The 27,003-nt window shown below is 51.9% G+C and overlaps 1 protein-coding gene across 4 annotated transcripts in view, besides 3 other annotated features; it reads right to left on the minus strand.

The window, feature by feature from the left end:
* The window catches only part of ZFR2 (zinc finger RNA binding protein 2), a 65,015-nt gene that overhangs the window by 23,739 nt on the left and 14,273 nt on the right, over positions 1-27,003 (minus strand). For 2 of the 4 annotated variants that reach the window (NM_015174.2, XM_011527831.3), the window contains exons 2-5: positions 7,011-7,221; positions 5,902-6,016; positions 3,898-4,116; positions 3,541-3,794 (exon numbers count right to left, since the gene is read on the minus strand). In NM_015174.2, coding sequence (NP_055989.1) covers positions 3,541-3,794; positions 3,898-4,116; positions 5,902-6,016; positions 7,011-7,221 — 799 coding nt within the window. Of the gene's footprint in view, positions 1-3,540; positions 3,795-3,897; positions 4,117-5,901; positions 6,017-7,010; positions 7,222-24,042; positions 24,853-27,003 lie in introns of those variants that run through there. The other 2 variants (NR_027149.2, NM_001145640.2) reach the window with 1 other exon arrangement.
* Positions 3,491-4,080: an enhancer, noted in NCBI's record as "H3K4me1 hESC enhancer chr19:3831251-3831840 (GRCh37/hg19 assembly coordinates)". NCBI's record gives its function as "activates a minimal SCP1, AML or CMV promoter by ChIP-STARR-seq in primed H9 embryonic stem cells {active_cell/tissue: H9 hESC(primed)}" and the evidence as "EXISTENCE:reporter gene assay evidence [ECO:0000049][PMID:30033119]".
* Positions 15,469-15,968: an enhancer, noted in NCBI's record as "H3K4me1 hESC enhancer chr19:3843229-3843728 (GRCh37/hg19 assembly coordinates)". NCBI's record gives its function as "activates a minimal SCP1, AML or CMV promoter by ChIP-STARR-seq in primed H9 embryonic stem cells {active_cell/tissue: H9 hESC(primed)}" and the evidence as "EXISTENCE:reporter gene assay evidence [ECO:0000049][PMID:30033119]".
* Positions 21,763-22,264: an enhancer, noted in NCBI's record as "H3K4me1 hESC enhancer chr19:3849523-3850024 (GRCh37/hg19 assembly coordinates)". NCBI's record gives its function as "activates a minimal SCP1, AML or CMV promoter by ChIP-STARR-seq in naive H9 embryonic stem cells {active_cell/tissue: H9 hESC(naive)}" and the evidence as "EXISTENCE:reporter gene assay evidence [ECO:0000049][PMID:30033119]".

The raw sequence follows: 27,003 nt of genomic DNA on the forward strand, positions 1-27,003 counted from the left end.
CCGCTGTCCCCAACCCTCCATTCCCTGGTGCCATGGAGGTTCCAGTGTCCCTTTATTTTTCTTATTTTTATTTTTTGAGATGGAGTCTCGCTCTGTTGCCCAGGCTGGAGTGCAGTGGCACGATCTCAGCTCACTGCAACCTCTGCCTCCTGGGTTCAAGTGATTCTCCCGCCTCAGCCTCCTAAGTACCTGGGACTACAGGCGGGTGCCACCACACCCGGCTAATTTTTGTATTTTTAGTAGAGACGGGGTTTCACTCTGTTGGCCAAGCTGGTCTCGAACTCCTGACCTCAAGTATCTACCTGCTTTGGCCTCCCAAAGTGCTGGGATGACAGGAGCGCACCACCGCGCCCAGCCTATCTTCTTACTATAGACGTCTCAAATTTTTTTTTTTTTTTTCGAGACAGGGTCTCACTCTGTCACCCAGGCTGGAGTGCAGTGGCGTGATCTCAGCTCACTGCAACCTCCACCTCCTGGGTTCAAGCGATTCTCCCGCCTCAGCCTCCCAAGTAGCTGGGACTACAGGTGCACACCACCACGCGTAGCTAATTCAAGTGTCCCTTTATGAAGCCCACGTAACAAACCCACAGGCTCAGACTGCTAGACATAAGGTTTCTTCCTTCTTCTGGAATTCAAGGAGTTTCTTTGGAAAGCATGCTCCATGCATCACACATTCCTTTTGGGGGCTGCTGTATACAGAAAATTCTGACTTCAGAATTCAACGTCAGAAACCAAGCAAGGGCACCTGCTGCCCGAAGGATAGTCACGTACACTTCCATCTTAGGAAACTGCTAATAGACACAGGGGCTCCACCCGGGGGAAGCCACCGTGAGTCACAGGCCTACGCATCCGGTACTACTGGGCCCAAAATATCTGATTGCGTCTGGGGAAGCGACAGCCAAGCCCTTAGGCAGAATCCTGGGTGTGCTGCTTGAAATCCTCAAATGAAGCCGGCCACAGACAAGACGTGGCAGGAGGGCCACGAAACCAACACGCCCTGACAATGCCAAGAATAAACATTCTGCAGACTGAAAAATGCCCCTGAAAATACTGGGGCACAGTGGGCACTGCCCCGTCACCTGCAGGCCACCGGCTTGGCACACAAGAACTCAGAGACATTGTCTGGTTTTAGGGAAGAAAAATAGGACGTGGGAGAGGCATACATTTTACTGTATGCATGCTCTCTGGAACTTAGGAATCTTTTTTTTTTTTTTTTTAAGACGGAGTCTTGCTCTGTTGCCCAGGCTGGAGTGCAGTGGCGCGATCTCAGCTCACTGCAGCCGCCGCCTCCCAGGTTCACGCCATTCTCCTGCCTCAGCCTCCCAAGTAGCTGGGACTACAGGCGTCTGCCACCACGCCTGGCTAATTTTTGTATTTTTAGTAGAGACGGGGTTTCACCATGTTGGCCAGGCTGGTGTTGAACTCCTGACCTCAGGCGATCCTCCCACCTCAGCCTCCCAAAGTGCTGGGATTACAGGTGTGAGCTACCACGCCCAGCCTGGAATTTAGCAGTCTTGAACCTCATAAATATATTACCTAAGCAATAGAATAAATACGCATCCCTGTGCACACATACTAACTTAGAAAGAGAGACTGCCTGTGGAATAGAGAAGACTCTGGAAGGATACACACCAAGATGCTACCGCTAAATCATTTCAGGGTGGAGGGATTATGGGGGACTATAGGTAGGTTTGTGTGTGTGTGTGTGTGTGTGTGTGTTTTGTTGTTGTTGTTGTTGTTGGTTTTTGGGGGGTTTTGTTTTTTTGTGGACAAAGGGTCTCGCCCTGTCGCCCAGGCTGGGGTGCAGTAGCGTGATCATAGCTCACTGCAGCCTTGGACTCCTGGGCTCAAACGATCCTCCCACCTCAGCCTTCAAAGTGGCCAGGACTATAGGTGCGTACCACCATGCCCAGCTAATTTTTAAATTTTTTTTAGAGACAGGGTTTCACCCATGTTGCCCAGGCTGGTCTCGAACTCCTGGGCTCAAGCGATCTACCGGCTTCGGCCTCCCAAGGTGCTGGGATTACAGGCATGAGGCACTGCACCCAGCCAGTAGGCTGTCTTTGTGCACTTTTGGCGTATACTGCAGTAATTAGCCACGTGGGCTTCAACACATCTTGGTTTGATTTCTGCCTGGGTCACTAAAACTGACTCTGAGTTCCTCAAAGTACTGACCCTTTCTGAGCCTCTGGGATTTTATCTGCCACACAGAGATGGTAGCCACAAGGCAGATATAAGGATTAAATAACCCACACGGGCCTGGCGCAGGGACTCAGCTTGTCATCCTGGCACTATGGGAGGCTGAGGCAGAAGAATTCCTTGAGCTTAGGAGTTCGAGACCAGCCTGGGCAACATAGTGAGACCCTGTATCTACAAAAAAATTTTTTTTTAAATAGCCAGGCATGGTGGTGTGCACCTGTAATCCCAGCTACTCAGGAGGCTGAGGTAGGAGGATCGCTTGGGCCCAGGAGTTCGAGACTGGACCTGGGCGACATAGTGAGACCCCATCTCTATTGAAAATTTAAAAAATTAGCTGGGCATGGTGGTTCGTACCTGTCTCAGCTACTTGGAAGGCTGAGGGGAGGATCACTTGAACCCAGGAGGTGGAGGCTGTAGCGAGCTGTGATTGTACCACTGCACCCTAGCCTGAGCAACAGAGCGAGACTTTGTCTCCAAAAGAAACTCAAACTTCTATGCGAGCACTCTGCAAAGAAGGCCGGGGTCTCTCCCAGCATGAGACACAGTGGAGAGCTGCTGGAGGAAAGAGTCTGAGACAGGGAAAGGGTGATCTGGGGCGGGAGGGGTCCTGAGCAGGGACCGGCCCCCCATCCCCAGCTGGGTCAGGGGTCCTGATAACGGTGTCCTGAGCCTTCTCACACCTCTCCAGAGTCTGCGATTGCAGACTCCGTGTCTCTCCGCGGTCCAGAGCTTCCTTTCAGAGTATTAAAAACAAAAGAAGATCAGGGTGTGTGTTTTGCAAAGACAGAGCTCTAGGGTCTAATTATCTTTCCAGGAATTGAGCCCACGATCTCAGCTGGGTGATTTGCAAGCTTTAAAATCTCAAGCTCGTGTGTTTGGTAAAGATTCTTTCACGTATGTCCCAAACAAGCACTGCCAAGCACAAGCACGCATGCACACACACACACGGGCGCATGCACACACATACACATGCAGGCATACATGCGCACACATACACACACGCACACACATGCACACACATACACACACGCTTGCACACACAGGCACATGCAGGCACACATGCGCACACATACGTGCAAGCACACATACATGCACACTCACGTTTGCACACACATATGCACACATATACACATGCATAAACACACGCACACATACACACTCACACTTGCACACACACACAAGCGCTTGCACACACAGGCCATGCATACAACATGCAAGTTAACACCAGACCTTCTTTCAGCAGGCAGCGACCCTGACCACCCCACCGGCGCCCACATTCGGGTTCAGACGTTGGGGACAGAGAGGTCCCTGGGGCCTGCCCATGGCAGGAGGGCGACTGACCTGGGGGCCAGCGCAGCTGATCTTGCAGATGTCGCAGTAGTGAAGCTGGAGCTGCCTGGGCCCCGCCTTGGGTCTCGGCAGCTTGCTGGGAAGCGGTGGCTTCGAGTCGGCCCTGGGGCTGCTTCCTGAGCCTGCAGGCGCGGGCGGCGGGGGCAGCTGCTGCGGGGGTCCCGGGGGAGGCGGGGGCTGCGCTGGAGGATAGAAAGGGCTGGCAGCGGAGTACACCGACGCGTCATAGTTCGGGTAGCTTGGTGCTGAGCAGCAGAGAAAACAATGAGTCGGGGGGAGATGCTGATTCCACTGAGTTGAAGTGGGGACCGACGGGCAGACCACCTGGGCAAGGAACGCTGGTCTTACCCGTGTAGGCGGTGCAGGTGGGGTTGTAGGAGGGCGGGGGGTAGGAGGTCACGATGGAAGCTGACGACTCGGGCTGGACGCCTGTCGCCGTGGGGTAGGTGTATCCCGAGGACAAGGTGCTCGCTGGCTGTCCGGACTCCACTATGGGCGCCTGCTGTGGGGGCTGAGCGTGGCTGTGACTGCCATGGGGGCTGGGCTGCCCGCAGGCTTCTTGGGTCCCTAGGGGACAGGGACAGGCCCTCTGCAGAGCCAACCCCCACCCCACTGTCCCTCACCTGCAGATGGGCCCTGGACTCAACTGGCTGGAACACGCTAGATGCTTAAGCCAGGACCAGAGGCCAGAGCCTTGGGCCAGGTGCTGGCAGCGACTCGCAGGTTACCTTGTGCCCACCTCTCCTTTCCAGAGCCCGGCTTCTCTCTCCTGCCATGGGGGAGGAGGGCTGTGGGTGCCCTAGACAAGCTCCTCTGCATCTCCAGCTCCATCACCCACAGAGCTCACCTCCTGCCACCCCGGGAAAGCTTCCTTGGAAAAAATGTTAGCTGCATTTTCAGTCCTCACTTTCCTTCATTCATAGGCCCACACCTGGCAGAGATCCCAGGGCCCATCTGAGCAGCCAGCTCTGAGGCTCACCTGCAAATCTAGGATGTTTTTATTATCATTATTATTATTTTTTTTTTTTTGAGTCGGAGTCTTGCTTTGTCACCAGGTTGGAATGCAGTGGCATGATCTCGGCTCACTGCAACCTCCACCTTCCAGGTTCAAGTGATTCTCCTGCCTCAGCCTCCCGAATAGCTGGGATTACAAGCATGCGCCACCCTGCCCGGCTAATTTTTCTATTTTTAGTAGAGATGGGGTTTCACCATGTTGGCCAGGATGGTCTCGATCGCTTGACCTTGTGATCCACCCGCCTCTGCCTCGCAAAGTGCTGGGATTACAGGCGTGAGCTGCTGCACCCGGCCTTTATTTTGTTTTTTTTTTTTATTTTTTATTTTTTAGAGACAGGGTCTTGCTCTGCTGCCCAGGCTGGAGTGCAGTGGTGCGATCACAGCTCACTGCAGCTCAGTTCCTGGGCTCAGGCGAACCTCCTACCTCAGCCTCCTGGGTAGCTGGGACTACAGGTGCACACCACCATGCCTGGCTAATTTTTTTGCATTTTTTGTAGAGACGGGGGTCTTACTATGTTGCCCAGGCTGGTCTCGAACTCCTAGGTTCAAGCAATTCTCCCACCTCGGGCCTCCCAAAGTGTTGGGATTACAGGCGTGAGCCACCGTGCCCGGCCTCTAGGATGGTTAACATGTAACTTTCACGGGGTGCAGTGGCTCACGCCTGTAATCCCAGCACTTTGGGAGGCCGAGGCAGGTGGATCACCTGATGTCAGGAGTTCAAGACCAGCCTGGCTAACATAGTGAAACCCCGTTTCTACTAAAAATAGAAAAAAATTAGCCAGGCATGGTGGCGCGTGCCTGCAGTCCCAGCTACTTGGGAGGCTGAGGCAGGAGGATTGTTTGAACCTGGGAGGCAGAGGGTGCAGTGAGCTGAGATCGCACCACTGCACTCCAGCCTGGGCAACAGAGTGAGACTCCGTCTCAAAAAAAAAAAAAAAAAAGAAAAGAAAAGAAAAGATGTAACTTTCAGGCCGGGCATGGTGGCTCACGCCTGTAATCGCAGCACTTTGGGAGGCCAAGGCGGGCGGATCACGAGGTCAGGAGATGGAGACCATCCTGGCTAATACTGTGAAACCCCGTCTCTACTAAAAATACAAAAAATTAGCCGGGCGTGGTTGCAGGCACTTGTAGTCCCAGCTACTCGGGAGGCTGAGGCAGGAGAATGGCTTTAACCTGGGAGGCGAAGCTTGCAGTGAGCCGAGATCGCACCACTGCACTCCAGCCTGGGCAACAGAGCGAGACTCTGTCTAAAAAAAAAAAAAAGTAAGTTTCCCAAGGTTTCCCTGTGCTGCGGGGAGCGTCTCCTCGTTCCCAGCCCCGACCCTGCAGATGGCTCACCTGGCTGGCCGGAGTCTGCGGCTGTCATGCGCCCAGACTGGAGGGCAGCAGACTGGAAGTACGGCCTGTCCTCATAGCTCCTGGCAGCTGCTGACTGTCCGTAGCTGTAACTGTCCTATGTGGGGGTTTCGGCAGGAGAGAGACAGAGAACGGAGGAGAGCAGCTCAGGCGGTGGGTGCGACGCGCCCTGCCACACTGCACTCTGCACTTAGTCCTTCCTGCAGCGCTGGCTCCTAAGCGTCTGCCCAGGACCAGGCCCTGGCCCGGAGGCAGGGGGCAGGGGGCAGGGGGCAGGGGGCAGGGGGCGTGGTTGACACAGCAGCTGTCATGGAGCCGACACTAATTTCCAAGAGTTCGACTGCAATTTACAAGAGGACGCTTGGTGCGGCAGGAGAGGGCGGGTTTGCAGGGAGAAGCCCCCGAGGCCTTGGCAAGGAAATGGAGAGGGGAGGAAGAGGGTGGGGTCAGGTGGGTGCTGAGCTTGAGTGACAGGGTGGCCTCTGATGCCGTTGACCGACACAATCTGGGGACGAGGTGCGGGTGGCAGAGCTGGGAAATTGGAGCATGGTCACGGGGGACATCTTTGCGACACCAAGTGGGAACACGGTGGCTGGATCTGCAGCCTGAGTGCCTCGGTTGGGAAGGTGAGGTCGTCAGCACCCAGGTGCACCCCACACACCACAGACTCCCTCTTAGAAGGTAGGAATCTGGAGCGTGGGGAAGGTGGGGTGAGTCCTGGTCTCTCTGGGCCCAGGTGGCCGAGGCCATCTGCCCTGACCAGGGAGGGGTCCTGTAACCCAGGCGACCCTCCTCCTCCTTCATAGTCACTGCTGAAGCTGGGACAAAGCTCTGTGCGCCGTCACTGTCCCCACTGCCCCGACGTGGAGGTACGCATGCGGCCTGTCCCCGAGAGCAGTGGATTCTTTCGGAAGCGACTCTGCCCTGATTTCTCCCCACCACGGGTACGCAATGCCAGCAGAAGGGTCCCGAAGGAAGGATCACGGTTAAGAGGCCTGGGAGAAGGAGTAGCTGTGGGAAGCCCACCGCTCTCACCCATGCAAGGCGACCCACGTTTCCCGGCAACGCTGGTCAAAGAAAGGACTGGATACCTGGTAGGTAGCCATGGTGGTGGCCGTGGGGACGGGCTCCTGGGGTCGGCTGCCGTAGGCGAAGTCCTGGCCGGAGTGGGGCTGGTATCCACCGTACCCTGCCGGGGCAGCTGGGGGAAAGGCCGGGTTCACGGCAGGGTCCATCCCAGGAGTGGGTTGTGCAGTATAGCTGGCCCCCACAGTGGGCAGGGGAAGGGTCGGAGGCTGGGCGCTAGAACCACAAACACACACCAAAGCCCCACCAGGTTAGAGCGAGTTCTCAGGTGCACTGAGTTGACGGTGTCAATTCCAGCCACCACTGGACCTGAGCTGCCCTGCTTGGTGGAGACCCTCCTAGGAGCCCAGGCACGGCCGGAAGCACTTTACACAAATTAACACCGTCTCACAACAACGCTGTAATGCTGGGCCTATCACTGCACCCAATTTACAGATGAAGAAACTGAGGCACTGTCAGTGGCAGAGCTGGGACTCGAACCCATCTGACTTCCGCTTTGCAGATGATCTACTTGTGTGGCAGGGCTTTTTCTCCATGTCAAGATTCTTCAAAGAAAATTGAACTTTTTTATTTTTTGAGACAGGGTCTCGCTCTGTTGCCCAGGATGGAGTGCAGTGGCACGATCTTAGCTCACTGCAACCTCCGCCTCCCAGGTTCAAGCAATTCTCCTGCCTCAGCCTCCCGAGTAGCTGGGACTACAGGCGCCCACCACCACGCCCAGCCTTTTTTTTTTTTTTTTGTATTTTTAGTAGAGACAGGATTTCACCGTGTTAACTAGGATGGTCTCAACCTCCTGACCTCATGATCTGGCCGCCTCGGCCTCCCAAAGTGCTGAGATTACAGGTGTGAGCCACCACGCCCGGCCAGAAAATTGAACTTTAACAGCACAGTGTCTGGCCGGGTGTGGTAGCTCATGCCTGTAATCCCAGCACCTTGGGAGGCCAAGGCGGGAGGATTGCTTGAGCTCAGGTGTTTGAGACCAACCTGGACAACATAATGAGACCTTGTCTCCACCAAAATTAAAAAAAAACAAACAATTAGCGAGTGTGATAGTACACGCCTGCAGTGCCAGCTACTCAGGAGGCTGAGGTGGGAGGATGGCTTGAGCCCAGGAAGTAGAGGCTGCAGTGAGCTATGATCTCACCACTGAACTCCAGCCTGAGCAACAGAGTAAGACTCTGTCTCAAAACAAACAAAACAAAAAACAGTACAGCTGTCCCTCACTATCTGCAAGGGTTGAGTTCCAGGACCCCCTCAGATGCCAAAATCCATGGATGCTTGAGTCCCTGACATAGAACGATATAGTGTTTGCATATAACCTAAACATATCATCCCATATACTGTAAATCATCTCTGGATTACTTATAATACCTAATACAATGTAAGCACTATGCCGATGGCTGTTACATTCCATTGTTTAGGGAACAATGAGAAGGAAAAACCCCATACATGTTCAGTACAGATGCATTTTTTTCCCAAATATTTTCCACCCTTGGCTGGTTGAATCCATGGATGCAGTGCCTATGAATGCGGAAGGCCAACCGTATTTTCTCTTTAAAAAAAAAATTTGTTTTTGAGAAAGGGTCTCGCTCTGTCACCCAGGTTGAAGTTCAGTGCTACGATCACAGCCCACTGCAGCCTCAACTTCCCAAGCTCAAGCAACCCTGCCTCAGCCTCTCAGTAGCTGAGAACACAAGTGTGAAACCATGCCCAGTTAATTCTTTAAAAAATTTTGGTAGAGGTGGGGTCTCACTATGTTGCCCAGGCTCTGACTGTATTTTTTTTAACAGAACAAGTCAGTCCACCTGAGTATTAAAATAATTACTTTAGTTAGCACTAAACTAATAACTCTTCACTAAAAAGAATGAGTCTTTGTAGGGTTTGCACAGTGCCGAGGCCTTTGTCCACATGGCCTCATTCACCCTTCAGAGGACATGCGGCACCATCGCTCCCCACGGTCTAGACGAGAAAACCTCCAAGGAGGACCAGGGGCTCATGTCAAGTGCAGGGGAGGGTTCAGACCCAGATCTTTCTGACCCCAATGCCCCTTGTTCAGCTAAATATCAGCTACCCAGTAGACAGTTCTGGAGTCTAAAAGCCCATTTGCCAGGGAAAAGTATCAGTAAAGATTTTAGCCCAATACCGCTATGGATATATATTAAAAAGTGAACCTCCAACCCCATAGGGGAAGGAGCAAGGTATGAGGGTCATTTTGGGGAAAATGGATTAGAAGGCAAAGAGGCTCTACACCACCTGGCCCCCAACCGGGCCCTGCTGTAGACTCCTGCCAGCCAGGTGAGTCATCCGCAGTGTCAGGGCCGGGGACAAGGAGACATTCTCTGCGGCACAGGAAAACCTCATGAAAGTTACAGCTTTTTTTTATTTTTTGAGACAGAGTCTCACTCTGTCACCCAGGTTGGAGTGCAGTGGTGCAATCTCGGCTCACTGCAACCTTTGCCTCCTGGCTTCAAGCATTCATTCCTCTAGCATTTTCACACACTTGTCCTGAGTGTCCACATGCTGGACATTCATGAACACCATGACTGTGGACACTTGATGGACACCATGACACAGACACCCGATGAACACCATGACCATGACACTCGATGAACACCATGACTGTGACACTCGATGAACACCGTGACTGTGGAACTTGATGAACACCATGACTGTGGAACTTGATGAACACCATGACTATGGGACACTCAAACACCATGACCATGACACTCAATGAACACCGTGACCGTGACACTCGATGAACACCATGACCGTGACACTCGATGAACACCGTGACCGTGACACCCAATGAACACCGTGACCATGACACTTGATGAATGCTGTGACTGTGGAACTTGATGAACACCATGACTATGGGACACCCGATGAACACCATGACCGTGACACTCGATGAACACTGTGACCGTGACACTCAATGAACACCGTGACCATGACACTTGATGAATGCTGTGACTGTGGAACTTGATGAACACCATGACTATGGGACACCCGATGGACACCTTGACTGTGACACTCAAACACCATGACTATGGACACTCGATGAACACCATGACTGTGACACTCAATGAACACCATGATTGTGACATTTGAACACCATGACTACAGACACCTGGTGAACACCATGACTGTGACACACGATGAACATGACTATGACACTTGATGAACACTATGACTGTGACAATCAATGGACACCATGACTGTAACACACGATGAATGTGACTGTGACACTTGATGAACACCGTGACTGTGACACACGATGAACACCATGACCGTGACACGTGATGAACACCATGACCGTGACACGCGATGAACACCGTGACCGTGACACTCGATGAACACCGTGACTGTGACACACAATGAACACCGTGACTGTGACACTCGATGAACACCATGACCGTGACACCCGATGAACATCCCGACAATACATTCGATGAACACCGTGACTACTGACATTTGATGAACACTGTGACTATGGACACTGAATGAACAGCATGACTACAGACACCTGATGAACACTATGACAGTGGCAGTACTCCTGTTCCCACACTCCCTCCCGTAGGTGGCTATGAAGAAAACAGAACTACAGAGTGAGTGCTATCCAGGCTGCACTGAGCACCGACCGATGAGCCAAAGAGAGGAAGGTGGAAGGTTCCATACGGGAGCTGGGGCAGAGCAGAGCTGGCCTCAGCTGTACAGCCCTTGCTGGAGACCACCCCAGCCCCTCACTCTCCTCCCTCCTCGCCAGCATTTCTTTGTCCTCCTGGCAGCCAGAGAGGGGTCTTTTCAAAGTACAGCCCTAACCATGCCATCTCCTGCTCAAAGCCCTCCCAAGGCCCTGCCACAGCCACATCCCACCGATCCCATCCCCCCGTGTCTATGGCTCCCGTCCCCGCTGCCTGCAAGTGGCTGCTCAGTGACACCCTGGGACGAGCCCTCCTGGAGCCCCTGTGGCCTGATGCTGATCAGCCTCTGTCCCCTGGTCCTGCTTTTTCTTCTTCCTGGCACCACCCAGTATACACTGCACGTCTGTCCACAGGCCGTCTCCTCCCTGGTCCCGATGCCCTGAGATGCAGGACCAGCTGCAGCTGCCCAGCTGTCTCCCGGGGCCGCGGCACGTGGCATGCAGCAGGGGCTCCATGCACATCTAGGGAGGTCAGGCACATGTGCTGAACGGCGCTTGTGTTGGGGAGGGCTCTGTCAGACACCTCAGCCTGTTTCTCCAAGATTCTCCTGAAGGACCAGAAATCGGCAGCTCTACAGAAGGATGGACATGTCCCCTGGGACCGCACACGCTCTGATCTGCACCATCGTGGGGTGTTTTCATCTCTCCCAGGAAAAGCAGAAGGGCCCTATCCATAAAGAAGAAACATTCAGATTCCACAGATCGGCCACTGTGAGATTTGTGTTTCTCTTCTGGAAGTCTCAGAGACTTTATTGGCCAAAAAGTCGATTAGGAAAGTGGTCCAGGCCGGGCACATGGCTCACACCTGTCATCCCAGTACTTTGGGAGGCCACGGCAGGCAGATTACCCGAGGTCAGGAGTTCGAGACCAGCCTGGCCAACATGGTGAAACCCCGTCTCTATTAAAAATACAAAAACTAGCCCAGTGTGGTGGTGGGTGCCTGTAGTCCCAGCTACTCAGGAGGCTGAGGCACGAGAATCGCTGGAACCCAGGAGGCGGAGGCGGAGGCTGCAGTGAGCCGAGACCGCTCCATTCCACTCCAGCCTGGGTGACAGAGCGGGATTCTGTCAAAAAAAAAAAAAAAAAAAAAAAAAAAAAAAAAAAAAAAAAAGCAGAAAGCAGTGATCAGTAGCTCTCTTAATCTCCTTGGGGATGACACTTCTTTTTTATGACAAAATATTTCAAACATAAAACCACTTAACAAACACATATCACTGAGATGGGTAAGTGCTAATGTTTGGCTGTATTTGTGTCAGAGCTTATTGTTTAAATACAGAGAATTGAAGCACCACCTGGATCCTATTCCTTTTTCTTCCTCCCTAGGGTTGGTGGCTGTCTTGTCTAATCATGATTCTTAGACTTTTAACTACATATGTATGAAGGTTTTGTTTGTTTGTTTCAGAGACGGGGCTCGCTTTGTTGCCCAGGCTGGATGGAGTGCAATGGCGCGATCACAGTTCACTGCAGCCTCTAACTCCTGGGCTCCGTATGAATCTGTATACAACACGGTGTTGTGTTTTTCAGTTACATGTGTGCAAAATGATGTTCTTATTGTGTATGTCACCCCGCAACTCGCTTCTCCAATGCCCGGCAAACCTTGTCTGAAATGTACTGATACGAGTCCACACGGTTCACTGATTTTAACTCCTTCTTCCCTACGCTGTCCTCCTACCTGGACAAAGGATCCTCTGCCCAGGCCCTGCATCTTAGAGTTTCATCGCCCAGTACAGAAGCAGCAGCCACACGTGGCTGAGCTCTTTTTTGTTTGCTTGTTTTACTTTTTTTTTTTTGAGACAGTCTTGCTCTGTCGCCCAGGCTGGAGTGAAATGGTGTGATCTCGGCTCACAGCAACCTCTGCCCCTCGGGTTCAAGCAATTCTCCCACCTCAGCCTCCCAAGTAGCTGGGATTATAGGCACCTACCATCATGCCGGGCTAATTTTTGTATTTTTGTAGAGACGAGGTTTCACCATGTTGGCCAGGCTGGTCTTGAACTCCCAACCTCAGGTGATCCACCCGTCTCAGCCTCCCAAAGTGTTGGGATTACAGGCATGAGCCACTGTGCCTGGCCTGATTGTTTTAGATATGAGGTCTTGCTCTGTCGCTCAGGCTGGAGTGTAGTGACGTGATCATAGCTCACTGTAGCCTCGAAACTCCCAGGCTCAAGTGATCCTCCTGCCTCAGCTTCCCAAGAAGCTGGGACCACAGGCATGCACCATCACACAAGGCTAATTTTGTTTTTTTGGGGTAGAGATGGGGTCTTGCTATGTTGCCCAGGATGACCTCCAACTCCTGGCCTTATGCGATCCTCCTGCTTCAGCCTCCCAAAGTGCTGGGATTACAGGCCTAAGCTAGGCTGAGCACTTAAAATATGGCTTGTGCAGCTGAGGAACAGAATGTTAAATTTTAAAATTTGTTTCATTTCAGTTAATTTAGATTTTGATGGCCATGCATGGCTGGTGGTGACCGGGGGCCAGCATGGATCTAGGTCACGCCGGTCACTGCACAGATCACACACATACACACACACATGTGCATGAGTGAAGAAGCACATGGTGACTCGGTGCCTTGTTCGCTCTAGGTTGGCCACGGTTCAGGGCCCGGGAGACCCAGGCCCCATCTCTGGCTCTACACCATGAAGGCAAAAGGCGACCACGTCAGAATGCTTGCAAAGTTTGAGGATTCTGCCTCCCAGCTACAGAGAGAGCTCCAACGTGGTTTCAGAGTGCAAGGAGGGTGGAGGAAAGACCACCCCCTTCGCAAACCCTCCTGTTGGGAACACGGCCGGCAACGGGTCTTGGAGAGGAGGCCTCACTCCTCGGCAGGGCCATGGGGCCGTGGCCTTCCTCTTCTGTGGGTCTGATTTGTGGTCTCAGATGCACCCATGGATCTGTGTGTTCAAAGCATGGTTCTGGCAACTGAGGAGCATTTTGTAATATGCAGGTGCGGTGGCTCACCCCTGTAATCCCAGCGCCTTGGGAGGCTAAGGCGAGAGGACTGCTGGAGCCCAGGAGTTCGAGACCAGCCTGGGCAACATAGCCAGACCCTGTCCCTACAAAAAATAAAAAAAAATTAGCCGGGTGTGGTGGAGCACCTGTAGTCCCAGCTACTCGGGAGGCTGAGGTGGGAGGGTCACTTGAGCCCAGGAATTTGAGACATAGCCAGACCCTGTCACCACAAAAAATTAAAAAAATTAGCTGGGTGTGGTGGGGCACCTGTAGTCCCAGCTACTCAGGACTTGAGGCGGGAGGATCGCTTGAGCCCAGGAGTTTGAGGCTGCAGTGAGCCATGATTGCACCAGCGTACTCCAGCCTGGGCCACAGAGCTGGACACTGTATTGAGACAGAGTCTCACTCTGTCGCCCAGGCTGGAGTGCAGTGTCACAATCTTGGCTCACTGCAACCTCCACCTCCCAGTTTCAAGCAATTCTCGTGCCTCAGCCTCCCAAGTAGCTAGGATTACAAGCGTGAGCCACTGTACCTGGCCAAAATCCATAATACTCTTAAACTTGTAGGTCTGATGTGTCACAGGTAAAGCAGAGTGACTTTTTTTTTTTTATTTTTTTGAGATAGGGTCTGGCTCTGTCACCCAGGCTGTAGTGCAGTGGCATGATCATACCTCACTGCAGCCTCCAACTCCTGGGCTCAAGAGATCCTTCCACCTCAACCTCCTGAGTAGCTGGGACTACAGGCGTGCACCACCATGCCTAGCTAATTTTTTTATTTTTTGTAGAGATGGGGGTCTTGCTGTGTTGGCCAGGCTGGTCTTGAACTCATGAGTTCAAGTGATCTGCCCGCCTCGGCTTCCCAAAGCACAGGAATTACAGGCGTGAGTCACTGTGCCCGGCCAGAGTAACTCTACCATAGCAACGAGAGACCCTGAGCATTAGAATTGCACATTGATGTTTGGAAAATGTTAGACAGCATGCAATTCAATTTTTAAAGCAAAGAAACCCTGTAGCTGTATATAATTTTGATCTAAAAACTTGAGTCATTACATTATCTTTTCCATTTTGTCTGAAAAAATGACAGCTTTATTGAGATATAATTCATTTCCTATAGAATTCAACCATTTAAAGTATAAAATGTAGTGGTTTTCAGTATATTCACAGAGATGTACAATTGTCACTTCAATGCATTTCAGAACTTTTTTTTCTTTTTTCTTTTTTTTTTTTTGAGACGGAGTTTTGCTCTTGTGGTCCTGGCTGGAGTGCAGGGGCATGATCTCAGCTCACTGCAACCTCTGCCCCCAGGGTCCAAGTGATTCTCCTGCCTCAGCCTGTCGAGTAGCTGGGATTGCAGGTGCACGCCACCAAGCCCAACTAATTTTTTGTATTTTTAGTAGAGATGGGGTTTCACCATGTTGGTCACGCTGGTCTCGAACTCCTGACTGCAGGTGCTCCACCTGCCTTGGCCTCCCAAAGTGCTGGGATTACAGGTGTAAGCCACCGTGCCTGGCCCATTTCAGAACATTTCATGACCCCACAATGAAACCCCAGCAGAAGGGAAAATGTAATGGTGCAGCCATTGTGGAAACAGTCTGGCAGTTGCTCGAAAGTTAAATCTAGAATTATCTCATGACTCAGCAATTCCACTCCTAGGTTCCTACTCAAAGGAAAAGAAAGCAGAGGCTCAAGAAGGTATTTTACACCAATGTTCACAGCAGCACTGTTCACAGTGGCTAAAAGGTAGGAGCAACCCAACCGTCCATCAGTGGATAAATGGGCTGGGCGCGGTGGCTCACGCCTGGGATCCCAGCACTTCGGGTGGCCGAGGCGGGCGGATCACTTGAGGTCAGGAGGTCGGGACCAGCCTGGCCAACATGGTGAAACCCTGTCTCTACTAAAAATACAAAAAATAACTGGGCCTGGTGGGGCGTGCCTGTAATCCCAGCTACTCAAGAGGCTGAGCTGGGAGGATTGCTTGAACCCAGGAGGTGGAGGTTGCAGTGAGTTGAGATCGCGCCACTGCACTCCAGCCTGGGAGACAGAGCAAGACTCTGTCTCAAAAAAATTGGATGAATGAACATAACGTGGTCCATCCACACAGTGAAATATGATTCGGCCTTAAAAAGAAAACAAGTCCTGGCCGGGCGCGGTGGCTCACGCCTGTAATCCCAGCACTTTGGGAGGCCGAGGCAGGCAGATCACGAGGTCAGGAGATCGAGACCATCCTGGCTAACATGGTGAAACCCTGTCTCTACTAAAAATACAAAAAGAAATTAGCTGGGCGTGGTGGCGGGCGCCTGTAGTCCCAGCTACTAGGGAGGCTGAGGCAGGAGAATGGCGTGAACCTGGGAGGCGGAGCTTGCAGTGAGCAGAGATCACACCACTGCACTCCAGCCTGGGTGTCAGAGCAAGACTCTGTCTCAAAAAACAAAAAAGAAAGAAAGAAAAAAAACAAGTCCTGACATAGGCTACAAGGTGGATGAACCGTGAGGACATCAGGCTCAGTGAGAGAAGCCAGGCACAGAAGGACAAATCCTGTGTGGTTCCAGTCCTAGGAGGTCCCTAGAGGTGTCAGATTCACAGAGACAGAAAGTAGGATGTGGGGGGGGGGGTGCCAGGGACCGGGGAGGGGAAGGGGAGTGAGTGTTTCACGGGGACAGAGCTTCAGTTTGGGAAGATGAGAAAGTTCTGGAGATGGATGGTGGTGACGGCTCCCCAACCACGTGAATGTGCTTAATGCCACTGAACTATGCACTTATTAATAAAACGGTAAAACTGGTCAATTTTATGTTATCTAGACTTTATCATAATAAAAAGCAAAGAAACCTCATATCCACTACCAATCACTTCCCCTCTCCACCCATCTATCTTGCTTTTTAATGTTAATAGAAATTTCTGAATATTATAGGAAAGTAACTTTTAAAAAAACATACAAATGAAGTTAACTTTTCAATGTTTTACTTTTTTTTTTTTGAGACAGAATCTTGCTCTGTCACCCACACTGGAGTGCAGTGGTGCGATCTCGGCTCACTGCAACCTCCACCTCCTGGGTTCAAGTGATTCTCCTGTCTCGGCCTCCGGAGTATCTGGGATTACAGGCATCTGCCACCATACCTGGCTAATTTTTGTATTTTTGGTAGAGACGGGGTTTCCACCATGTTGGCCAGGCTGATCTTGAACCCCTGACCTCAAGTGATCCACCTGCCTCAGCCTCCAAAAGTACTGGGATTACATGTGTGAGCCACTGCGCCTGGCCCAATGTTTTACATTTAAATTGCATTTATAATGAAGACATATTTAATTTTTGCACATTTGTGGTTTAATGGCATCTTGTGGTTGAATCCTTTAGATGAGTCAGGGTTCCAGCAGAGAACGAGGCCTGGTACTCTGAGGCCTCCACGTGGGAAGGAATTCCTCTCCCTCCCTGGAGTCTGGAATGGAGCTCCCCGTGGCCCACTCCCGGGGGACTCAGTCTCTGCAGCTAGTGTCTGTGCTCTGCAGTTTCCAGGCAGAACCCTGATTGGGAAAGGGGGCTGCAGGGTTGCCCCAGGTGGTCATGGCCAAGTACCACAGCTGGGTGGCTTCAGCAACACAGACTTATTTATTCTCACAGTTCTGGAGCGTGGATGTCCTAGATCCAGGTGTCAGCAGGGCCGGTCCCTCTGTGGCTTGCAGACGGCAGTCTTTGCCCTGTGTCCTCACGTGGTTGTCCCTCTGTGCGTGTCTGTGTTCTAATCTCTTCTTACAGGGATCCAGTCGGATTGGATTAGGGCCCATTCTGCATTGGGCTAAATTGATTAAGTTTAATTCATTTCAACTTAATTCTCTCTTCAAAGACCCTGGCTCTCCAACTGCACCCTAGACTGGGCAGCATAGTCAGACCCTGTCTCTACAAAATTTTTTTTTTATTACAGAAGTATAAAGGGGGGCCAGTCATGGTGCCTCACACCTGTAATCCCAGCACTTTGGGAGGCCGAGGCAGGAAGATGGCTTGAACCCAGGAGTTTGAGGCCAGCCTGGGCAACATAGTGCTACCCTATCTCTATTAAAGAAGAAAATTTCAAAAAAAGAAAAAAAAAAAAGGTAAAACTGCAACATGGTCCCTACAAGGTCACACTTTTGTAATCCCAGCACTTTGGGAGGCTGAGGCAGGAGGACTGCTTGAGCCCAGGAGTTTGAGGCCAGCCTGGGCAACATGACAAAACCCCATCTTTACAAAAAAAAAAAAAAAAATTAGCCAGGCGTGGTGGTGTGCACCTGTAGTTCCAGCTACTCAGGAGGCTGAGGAAGGAGGGTCACTGGAGCCCAGGAGGTCAAGGCTGCAGTGAGCCATGATCACACCACTGCACTCCAGCCTGGGAAACAGTGAGATCCTGTCTCAAAAAAAGAAGAGGAAAGAAAAAAACTAAAAATAAGTCAAGACCCTGTCTCCAAATCCGGGCATATTCAGAGGTACTGAGGGTTAGGACTTCAACACAGGAAGGTGTGGGAAAAGGGCGCGGATTCAGCCCCTGATGGCTGCTTCAGGTCATGTCCATAATACACTGAAATGATATGGAAATCTTTTTCTTTTTTGTTTTCTGAAACGGAGTCTTGCTCTGTCGCCAAGGCTGGAGTGCAATGGCACAATCTTGGCTCACTGCAACCTCTGCCCCCCAGGTTCAAGTGATTCTCCAGCTTCAGTCTCCCAAGTAGCTGGGACTAAAGGCGTGTGCCACCACGCCTGGCTAATTTTTGTATTTTTAATAAAGACGGGGTTTCACCATGTTGGCCAGGCTGTTCTTGAACGCCTGACCTTAGGTGATCCACCCGCCTCAGCCTCCCACAGTGCTGGGATTACAGGCGTGAGCCACTGCACCTGGCCCATTTTTCCAAATATTTTTGATCGGCAGTTGGTTGAATCCACAGAGGCAGAACCCATGGATAGGGAGGGTGGGCTAATTAAATCCAGCCATCTTTGATGTTTTGCCGACTCGAAAAGCCACAGCACCACACAGTTTTTGTGTATGTTGTTAGAAAGGTATGTTTGTCATGGTGAGCGGGACAGAACATACTGTATTTAACTTTAGCGAGCTTGGTTGGTAATGTTAAAATATGTAGACATATGGTAGGCAGGCTTCCATCTGTACTTCTGCCCTGGGCCTCCCAAATGTAAAGACTGATTAGTTACATAAGCAGAACACGCATCTTTAAAAAAAGACTGTTTACTTGTTTGAAACTGTCCCGATTCATTCACCTTTTTCCCATTTTCCTTACTACATAAGCGGAATGTGCTTCTAAAAGAAGAATAATTGTTTACTTGTTTGAAAATATCACAATTCATTCACCTGTTTTCCTTAATTACATAAGCAGAATATACTTCTACAGAAAAGACTGTTTACTTTGAAAACATCATGATTCATTCACCTATTATCCGATTGGTGGACATTTATACTATGTGTTAGTTATCTCCTGCTAAGTAATAGATTAACCTTGCAAAACAACGAGGCTTTAAACACTGTGTCTGTGGATCAGGAATTTGGGACGGGCTTCGGGCTTCTGGCTTGGGGTCTTTTATGAGGTTGCCAATGAGAGGTCAGCGGCGGGCAGCAGGATCTGCTTCCAAGATGCCTTCCTGCCAGGGTTGGCAAGTTGGTGCTGACTGTTGGTGGCAGTCCTTGTTCCTCCCAGGCAGGCCTTTCCTCACACGGCTTGAGTGTCCTCACAACATGGCGGCCAGCTTCCTCCAGAGCAAGGGATATGAGGGAGAGCAGGGGAGAGGGCGGCACACACAGCAGGTGAAAGTTGCCCTTGTTATGATGCAGCTTCAGGAATCATTTCATAGAGCCGGGGGCAGGGGGGTGGCTCACACCTGTAATCCCAACTACTCGGGAGGCAGAGGCAGGAGGATCGCTTAAGCCCAGGGGTTCTAGACTAGCCTGGCCAACATGGTGAAAGCCCATCTCTACTAAAAACACAAAAATTAGCTAGGTGTGGTGGCACGTGCCTGTAATCCCAGCTACTCAGGAGGCTGAAGCAGTAGAATCACTTGAACCCGGGAGGCAGAGGTTGCAGTGAGCTGAGATTGCACTACTGCACTCCAGCCTGGGCAACAGAGCGAGACTCCTTCTCAAAAGAAAAAAAAAAGTATTTTTTGAAAATAAGAATATTTGTAAAAAAGAATCATATAGCATAACTTCTGCCACATTCCATTAATTAGAAGCGAATCACCGAATCCGACCTGCACACACGGGGAGAGGCTCAGGCCTCACCTTTTGAAGGAAGGCATAGGGAACAATTTGCAGACGTATTTCTAGACTGCCTCACGTTGTTTCCAATCTTTCGCCATTAAAGCAATGCTCCAAGGCTTATTCTAGAGTGGCTTCTTGTCCTGCCTGAGCCCTACACCACCCACAAGGCACTAAGAGTCAACGGCAAAGAGGCCGGGAGAGCTGATTTAGAATCATCAGGCTCCACTCCTGGAGCCGGGACCACCCTCTCCTGAGACATACAGGAGAGGGGCGGAGTCCAAACCAAGCTGGCCAGAAGACAGGACAGGATGGAGACTGGGAGGACACCCACAGGCCCTCTCTTTGGTTTTGTACAATCTACAGAGCTCAACAAGAGGGTATGATCGGCCCAAGATATAGTGCAGGGGCAGGGAAATCCAAGTACGGTTGCAGCTCTAGAGCCCTTTGGACTGAGACCTGCTGCCTCTTTTGTATAAAAAGCTTTCATGGCTGGGCACAGTGGCTCACGCCTGTAATCCCAGTACTTTGGGAGGCCGAGGCAGGTGGATCACCTGATGTCAGGAGTTCGAGACCAGCCTGGCCAACATGGTGAAACCCCGTCTCTGCTAAAAATGCAAAAATTAGCCAGGCATGGTGGCGGGCGCCCGTAATCCCAGCTACTTGGGAGGCTGAGGCAGGAGGATCGCTTGAATGGGGGAGGTGGAGGTTGCAGTGACCCAAGACTGTGCCATTGCACTCCAGGCTGGGCAATAAGAGCGAAACTCCATCTCGGAAAAAAGCTTTCATGGCCAGGTGTGGTGTCTCACACCTGTAATCCCAGCACTCTGGGAGGCCAAGATGGGAGGATCTCTTGAGCCCAAGAGTTTAAGACCAGCCTGGGCAACATAGCAAGATCCCATCTCTACAAAACAGAAAAATTAGCCAGGCATGGTGGTGCACCTGCAGTCCCAGCTCCTCAGGAGGCTGAGGCAGGAGGATTTCTTGAACCTAGTAGGTTGAGATCACACCACTGCACTCCAGCCTGGGCAACAGAGCAAGACCCCATCTCTTAAAAACACAAAGTGTTAGGCTGGGCGCGGTGGCTCACGCCTGTAATCCCAGCACTTTGGGAGGCTGAGGTGGGCGGATCACGAGGTCAGGAGATCGAGACCATCCTGGCTAACACGGTGAAACCCCGTCTCCACTAAAAATACAAAAAAAAATTAGCCAGGTGTGGTGGCGGGCACCTGTAGTCCCAGCTACTCAGGAGGCTGAGGCAGGAGAATGGCATGAACCCCGGAGGCGGAGCTTGCAGTGAGCCGAGATCACACCACTGCACTCCAGCCTGGACAACAAAGCGAGACTCCGTCTCAAAACAAAACAAAACAAAACAAAACAAAAACCAAACAAACAAAAACACAAAGCGTTCAGTACTAGATAGTAAATCGTGAGTAGCTTTCTGGGGAGGAAGCTCCATTCTTCTCTGGCTTCCCTGGGTCCTGAGACCTTGCCCCTCCAACCTGGAGGCCCAGGCGTGCTGAGCAGCACCAGCAGAGGGCTGTGGGGGCAAGTGAACCTCAGGTGGAAGGCTGAGCAGAGTCCTTCAGCCCAGGACCCCAAGGAAGGAGCAGGAACCTGTGGGGCTTTCTCTATCTGCTCCTGCTGTGCCTCCGCACACAGCTTTGTCTCCACCTGGTGGACACCCCACCTAAGAGGACAGTGGAGGCGGCTGGTTGGTGAACTGGCTCCATGGCAGAGATCAGACAGCCCATGCAGCAGAGGGCAGAGCTTTCCAACTCAGGCCCTTCTGACATTTGGGACAACATTGTTCTCTGGGGTGGGGCCGTTCTGGGCCCTGCAGCGTGCTGAGCAGCGTCCCCAGCCTCCACCCACTCCATGCCAGGAGCTCCCCCAAATCGTGACAATGACAAATGTTCCCAGACCTTGACCAGTTAAGAACTGATGGTCTAGGACAAGCTCAATGCCAGGGCGTAGCCTTGTGCAGGTGGACAGAGCCAAAGGCTGCTTCCTGCCTGGTTCAGCCCATACTCTGGAAGGATCCCCAGGATGTTGTAGGCTGGCCTCTGACTTGGAGTCAGGCTTGAGTCAGCACCATGAAGACAGTGAATGAAAAAGAACACGCTCTTCTTGTAGACAACCCTGAACAGCAATGCTCAGGCACGCTACAGTTTGGAATCCACTGAGCCAGGGCGCAGGGAAAATGGATGTGCGACCAACATGCAGATGGCTGGACGTCCGCTGGCTGAGGGCAGGTCTCAGCATCCCTGCTGGCCTGCAGGGCAACTCCCACTGGTTTCAGTGTTACACCCTGTGAACGTCACAGCTGTGAGCAGACTGAGGACCTGTGAGGGATACAGGGTCAGGGTGACATCAGGCAAGATACCCTTGACCTCGCCGCAGGTCCCCACCCTGTCCCGCCACTCTGCTGTCTGATGGCAGGAATGGAGTGCCTCTCCTACACAGATAACAGAGACGCGGGGGCAGAGGCAGCGAAACCCAGGCACCCTCTGGGAGAAGGAGGGGCATGCCAACTGCTCTGAAGACCCAGGAGGCTCCCCCAGAGGCTGGAAAAGCCCCGGGGAAGGGTGCCTGGGATTTCAAAGAGGAGGGGCTCGCTGAGAGGAGCGTGGGAGAAATGAGGAGTGCTGGTGGGGCGACTGTCCTGGGTGCTGAGGGACAGAGGTTATCAGGGTGAGGGGTGACGGGAGGCAGCTCAGGGCTCTCCAGTGCCAGGTAGAACCTGGGATTTATCCTCAGCCATGAGGAGCCACCTGGGCATCTCATGACAAGCTTTGGCCTGAATTACGTCCCCCTGCCCCCAATTCTTATGTTGAAGCCCTAACCCCCATGTGACTGTATTTGGAGATGAGGCCTTCAGGGAGGGAATGAAGGTTATATGACGTCATCAGGTGGGGACTGATCTGAGCAGAACTGGGGTCCTTATAAGAAAAGGAAGAGGCCGGGCACAGTGGCTCACACCTCTAATCCCAGCACTTTGGGAGGCTGAGGCAGGAGGATCACTTGAGCCCAGGAGTTAGACATCAGCCTGGGCAAGATACTGGGATCCCATCTCTACAGAAAAACAACAACAACAACAACAACAACAACAAAACAAACACACACAAAAAAACCACACTTTGCGCCTGTGGATCCTTGGGAGGCTGAGGTGGGAGGCTCGATTAAGCTCAGGAGATTGAGGCTGCAGTGAGCTGTGATCTCACCACTGCACTGCAACCTGGATGACAGGGCAGTCTTTTCAAAAAAAAAAAAAAAAAAAAAAAGAGACACCAGCAGTGCACATGGACAGAGAAAAAGCCACAGGAGGACACTGTGAGGAGGTGGCCATCTGAAAGCCAAGGAGAGAGCCCTCACCAGAAACCACCCCCTGCTGGCACCTAGATCTCACACTTCTGGCCTCCAGAACAGGGAAAAAATACATTTTGTTTAAGCCTCAGTCTGTGGTATTGTTAGGGAAGCCCCAGCCGACCAAGACAGGTGGAGACGGTTAGAGAGGGGAGCAGTTAGAGGGAAGGCCCATTAAGGACACGAGACACACAGGGGCCAGAACTAGAGGGGGTGATGGACAGGGGGACAGAACACATGCGCCATCATGTCACCGGCAGGAAAGCACAGTCAAAGCCAGCTCTCAGCAGTGTAGGGCTTTACAAACACCTAAAACAGGGCCTGGGAACAGCCAAGAGTAATATGTGTTTGGTGACTGTGACCACACAGTGACCATGACTCAGGAAGGGAACACTTGGCCTGCCTCATCTCAAGTCATTGCTTGTGACCCCAGAAGCCACCAAAACATGCAAATGCATGCACACACACGTGCATGCACACACTGCTGTTCCATTCCACTAAGCATGCTTACACGAGGAAGTAGAGCATGGGCTTTGTCTCCAATGGGGCAGCCCACATCTTCATGGGTCTCACACCCACTCTCAGGGGAGACCATGGCCTGGCAGAGCCCAGAATTTAGGGGAGGAAGGGAGGGGACAGAAGGGTTTTTAAGATGGAGTCAGCTATGTATGGCCAAATGCGGCCTGCCTGTTTTTGTACAGTCCCAAGCTAAGAATGGTTTTTATAATTTTAAGTGACTGGAAAAAGTTAAAAGGGTAATAATACTTCATGGCATGTGCAAAATTACATGAAATTCACATTTCAGTGTCCAAAAAAATAAAGTTTTATTGGCACACAGCCAAGCCCACTGGATGACACATTGTCCACGGCTCATCTTGCAATACAATAGCAGGGTTCACTAATGTGACAGACATGGTGTGGCTCACAAAGCCAAAGATATTTACTATGTGGCTTTTTACAGAAAAGGTCCGCTGACCTCTGACTCAAAGCAACAATCATTTATTTCACTTGTGATTCTGCAGGCGGGGATCAGCTGGGCAGCTCTCCTGGCCAGGCGGGGCTCAGCTGGGTGCCTCTTCTGGCCAAGGCGGTGCTCAGCTGGGTGGCTCTTCTGGCCAAGGCGGGGCTCAGCTGGGTGGCTCTTCTGGCCCAGGCGGGGCTCAGCTGGGTGGCTCTCCTGGCCAAGGCGGGGCTCAGCTGGGTGGCAATCCTGGCAGAGGTGGGGCTCAGCTGGATGGCTCTCCTGGCCAGATGGGGCTCAGCTGGGTGGCTCTCCTGGCTGAGGTGGGGTTCAGCTGGGTGGCAATCCTGGTGGAGGTGGGCCTCAGCTGGGTGGCTCTCCTGACCATGGCTGGGCTTCTCTGCCCCTGGAGGGCAGCTACCTGTTGGATGGGGCACTGTGACTCTTCTCCTTATATCTCCTCCTCCAGCAGGCCAGCCTTGGGTCCTTCACCAGGCAGGGTCCCATAAGATGGAGCAGATGCAGGCAAGGCCTCTTAAGCTTGGGCACAGGGCAGTCACAGCGTCACTTCCACTGCAGCCAACTGTCCAAGGCAGGGCACAAGGAAGCCCAGATGCAAGGGCCGGGGGAGTGGTCTCCACTTCTGGACTGGAAGAGTAGCAAGGACATGGTGGGAAGGGCATGGATATAAGGGTGGATGAAGGATGAAGGCATTTTGGCAACAATCTGCCACATTGTGGTTTCAGGAGCTGAGCCAGCAAAAACACAGCTCCTGGGAAGAACACCCCACAGCATGACTCATCCAGACACCAAAACCAAGGCAGCCCAGGGCAGTGGTTCTCAAAGAGGGCAGGTTTTGCCCCCAGGAGACACTGGGTGATGTCTGAGGACATCTGTGGTTGTCACCACTTGGGGGAGCTCCTGGCATGGAGTGGGTGGAGGCCAGGGACGCTGTTCAGCACCCTGCAGTGCCCAGAATGACTTCACTGCAGAGAATAATCCAGCCTCAAATGTCAAAAGTGCTGCTGTTGGCCAGGTGCAGTGGCTCACCTGTAATCCCAGCACTTCGGGAGGATCACTTGAGCCCAGGAGTTGGAGACCAGCCTGGGCAATACAGTGAGACCCCATCTCTTAAAAACTGCTGCTGTTGAGAAACTCAGATCTGGGAAGGACAGGCTGGGGTCCCTGGGGCTGGGGACTAGGGATTAGAGCCTAGCTCTGCAGATGGTCGGCAGCCAACATTGCTGCTTCTGCCAGGTCTCAGATGCGACAGGGAGAGGCCCACAGCCCTCCCCGGGTTCCCAGCGTGGGCGGTCACGCTGACTCCCCCTTGCCTTCTCACAGTTTAGAGTCAGATGAAAGCTGTGGCCTCCCGCCCTGCCCTGATCCCCTGAAAATGACAAAGACAGGTGTGCCTGTAGTTACCTTAGGTTTCCCAGACCCCGGGTTGAGAATCCCTGCTGTCACAGGTGGATCAAAAAGCATTTGTTGAGGTTAAATGGAAAATTTTGTATTATATATATTTTGCCACCAAAAAAAAAAATTACACTCTAGCACATGCTGCATGGATGAACCTTGAGGACATCACACCCCGTGAGAGAAGCCAGACACAAAAGGCCATACAATATGTAATTCCATTTCTACAGAATGTCCAGGAGAGGCCAATCCACAGAGGCAGGAAGGGGATTTGTGGGTGCCAGGCCCTGAAGGAGGGGTTAAAAGTAATGGCTAATGGAGATGGAGTTTCCTTTTGGGCCGATAGGAATGTTCTGGAATTTGAGGTAACAGTCACACAATTCTGTTAATATACTAAAAACCAGGCTGGGTGTGGTGGCTCACACCTGTTAATCCCAGCACTTTGGGAGGCCAAGGCAGGAGGATAGCTTGAGCCCAGGAGCACAGTTCAAGACCAGCCTGGGCAACACAGTGAGACCCCCGCCTCTACAAAGTCTCTACAAACTACAAAAATTGGCCAGGCACAGTGGTGTGTGCCTGTAGTCCCAGCTACTTGGGAGGCAGAGGTGGGAGGATTGCTTAAGCCCTGGAGTTTGAGGCTGCAGTGAGCTTTGATCACACCACTGCACTCCAGCCTGGGCAACAGAGCGAGACCCTGTCTCAAAAAAACCACTGTGCCCTGACACAGGCAGGGCACAGTGGCCTACGCCTGTAATCCCAGCACTTTGGGAGGCCGAGGTGGGCAGATCACTTGAGGTCAGGGTTCAAGACCAGCCTGGCCAACATGGTGAAACCCCATCTCTATAAAAATACAAAAAAAATGAGCCAGGCATGGTAGCAGGCTTGTATAATCCCCAGCTACTCCGGAGGCTGAGGTAGGAGAATTGCTTGAACCTAGGAGGCGGAAGCTGCAGTGAGTTGAGATCGCACCACTGCACTCCAGGCTGGGTGACAGAGCGAGACTGTCTAAAAAAAAAGTCTTGTTCTTTCTAGGCTTTTCTAGCAACTACCACATAACAGGCGCTTCACAGCCATCTGCAGAGTCTGATTCAGAGACACCTGTGGTAGCTGAGACCAGCGATCATGTGAACACATCATCTCCGGACCAAAACCAAAAGTCGATTATTCCAAACATGGTCAGAGCTCAGATTCCTACATCCCAGAGAGAAACCACTCAGAGGCTGACATAGATGACACTAGATGGTTAGGGCAGGGGTCTTGATGTAGAGCATGTGCCCGTAAACTCTGCAATAAACTCACAGGACAGGAAGTAGCCCTTTTACATTCTTGCAGAGAAAAAGAGTTGGGCAGAAAACAAGAGTTCTTCTAAACTACATCATTAAG

This window comes from Homo sapiens, chromosome 19 (assembly GCF_000001405.40).
Source record: "Homo sapiens chromosome 19, GRCh38.p14 Primary Assembly".
Taxonomy (NCBI): Eukaryota; Metazoa; Chordata; class Mammalia; order Primates; family Hominidae; genus Homo; species Homo sapiens.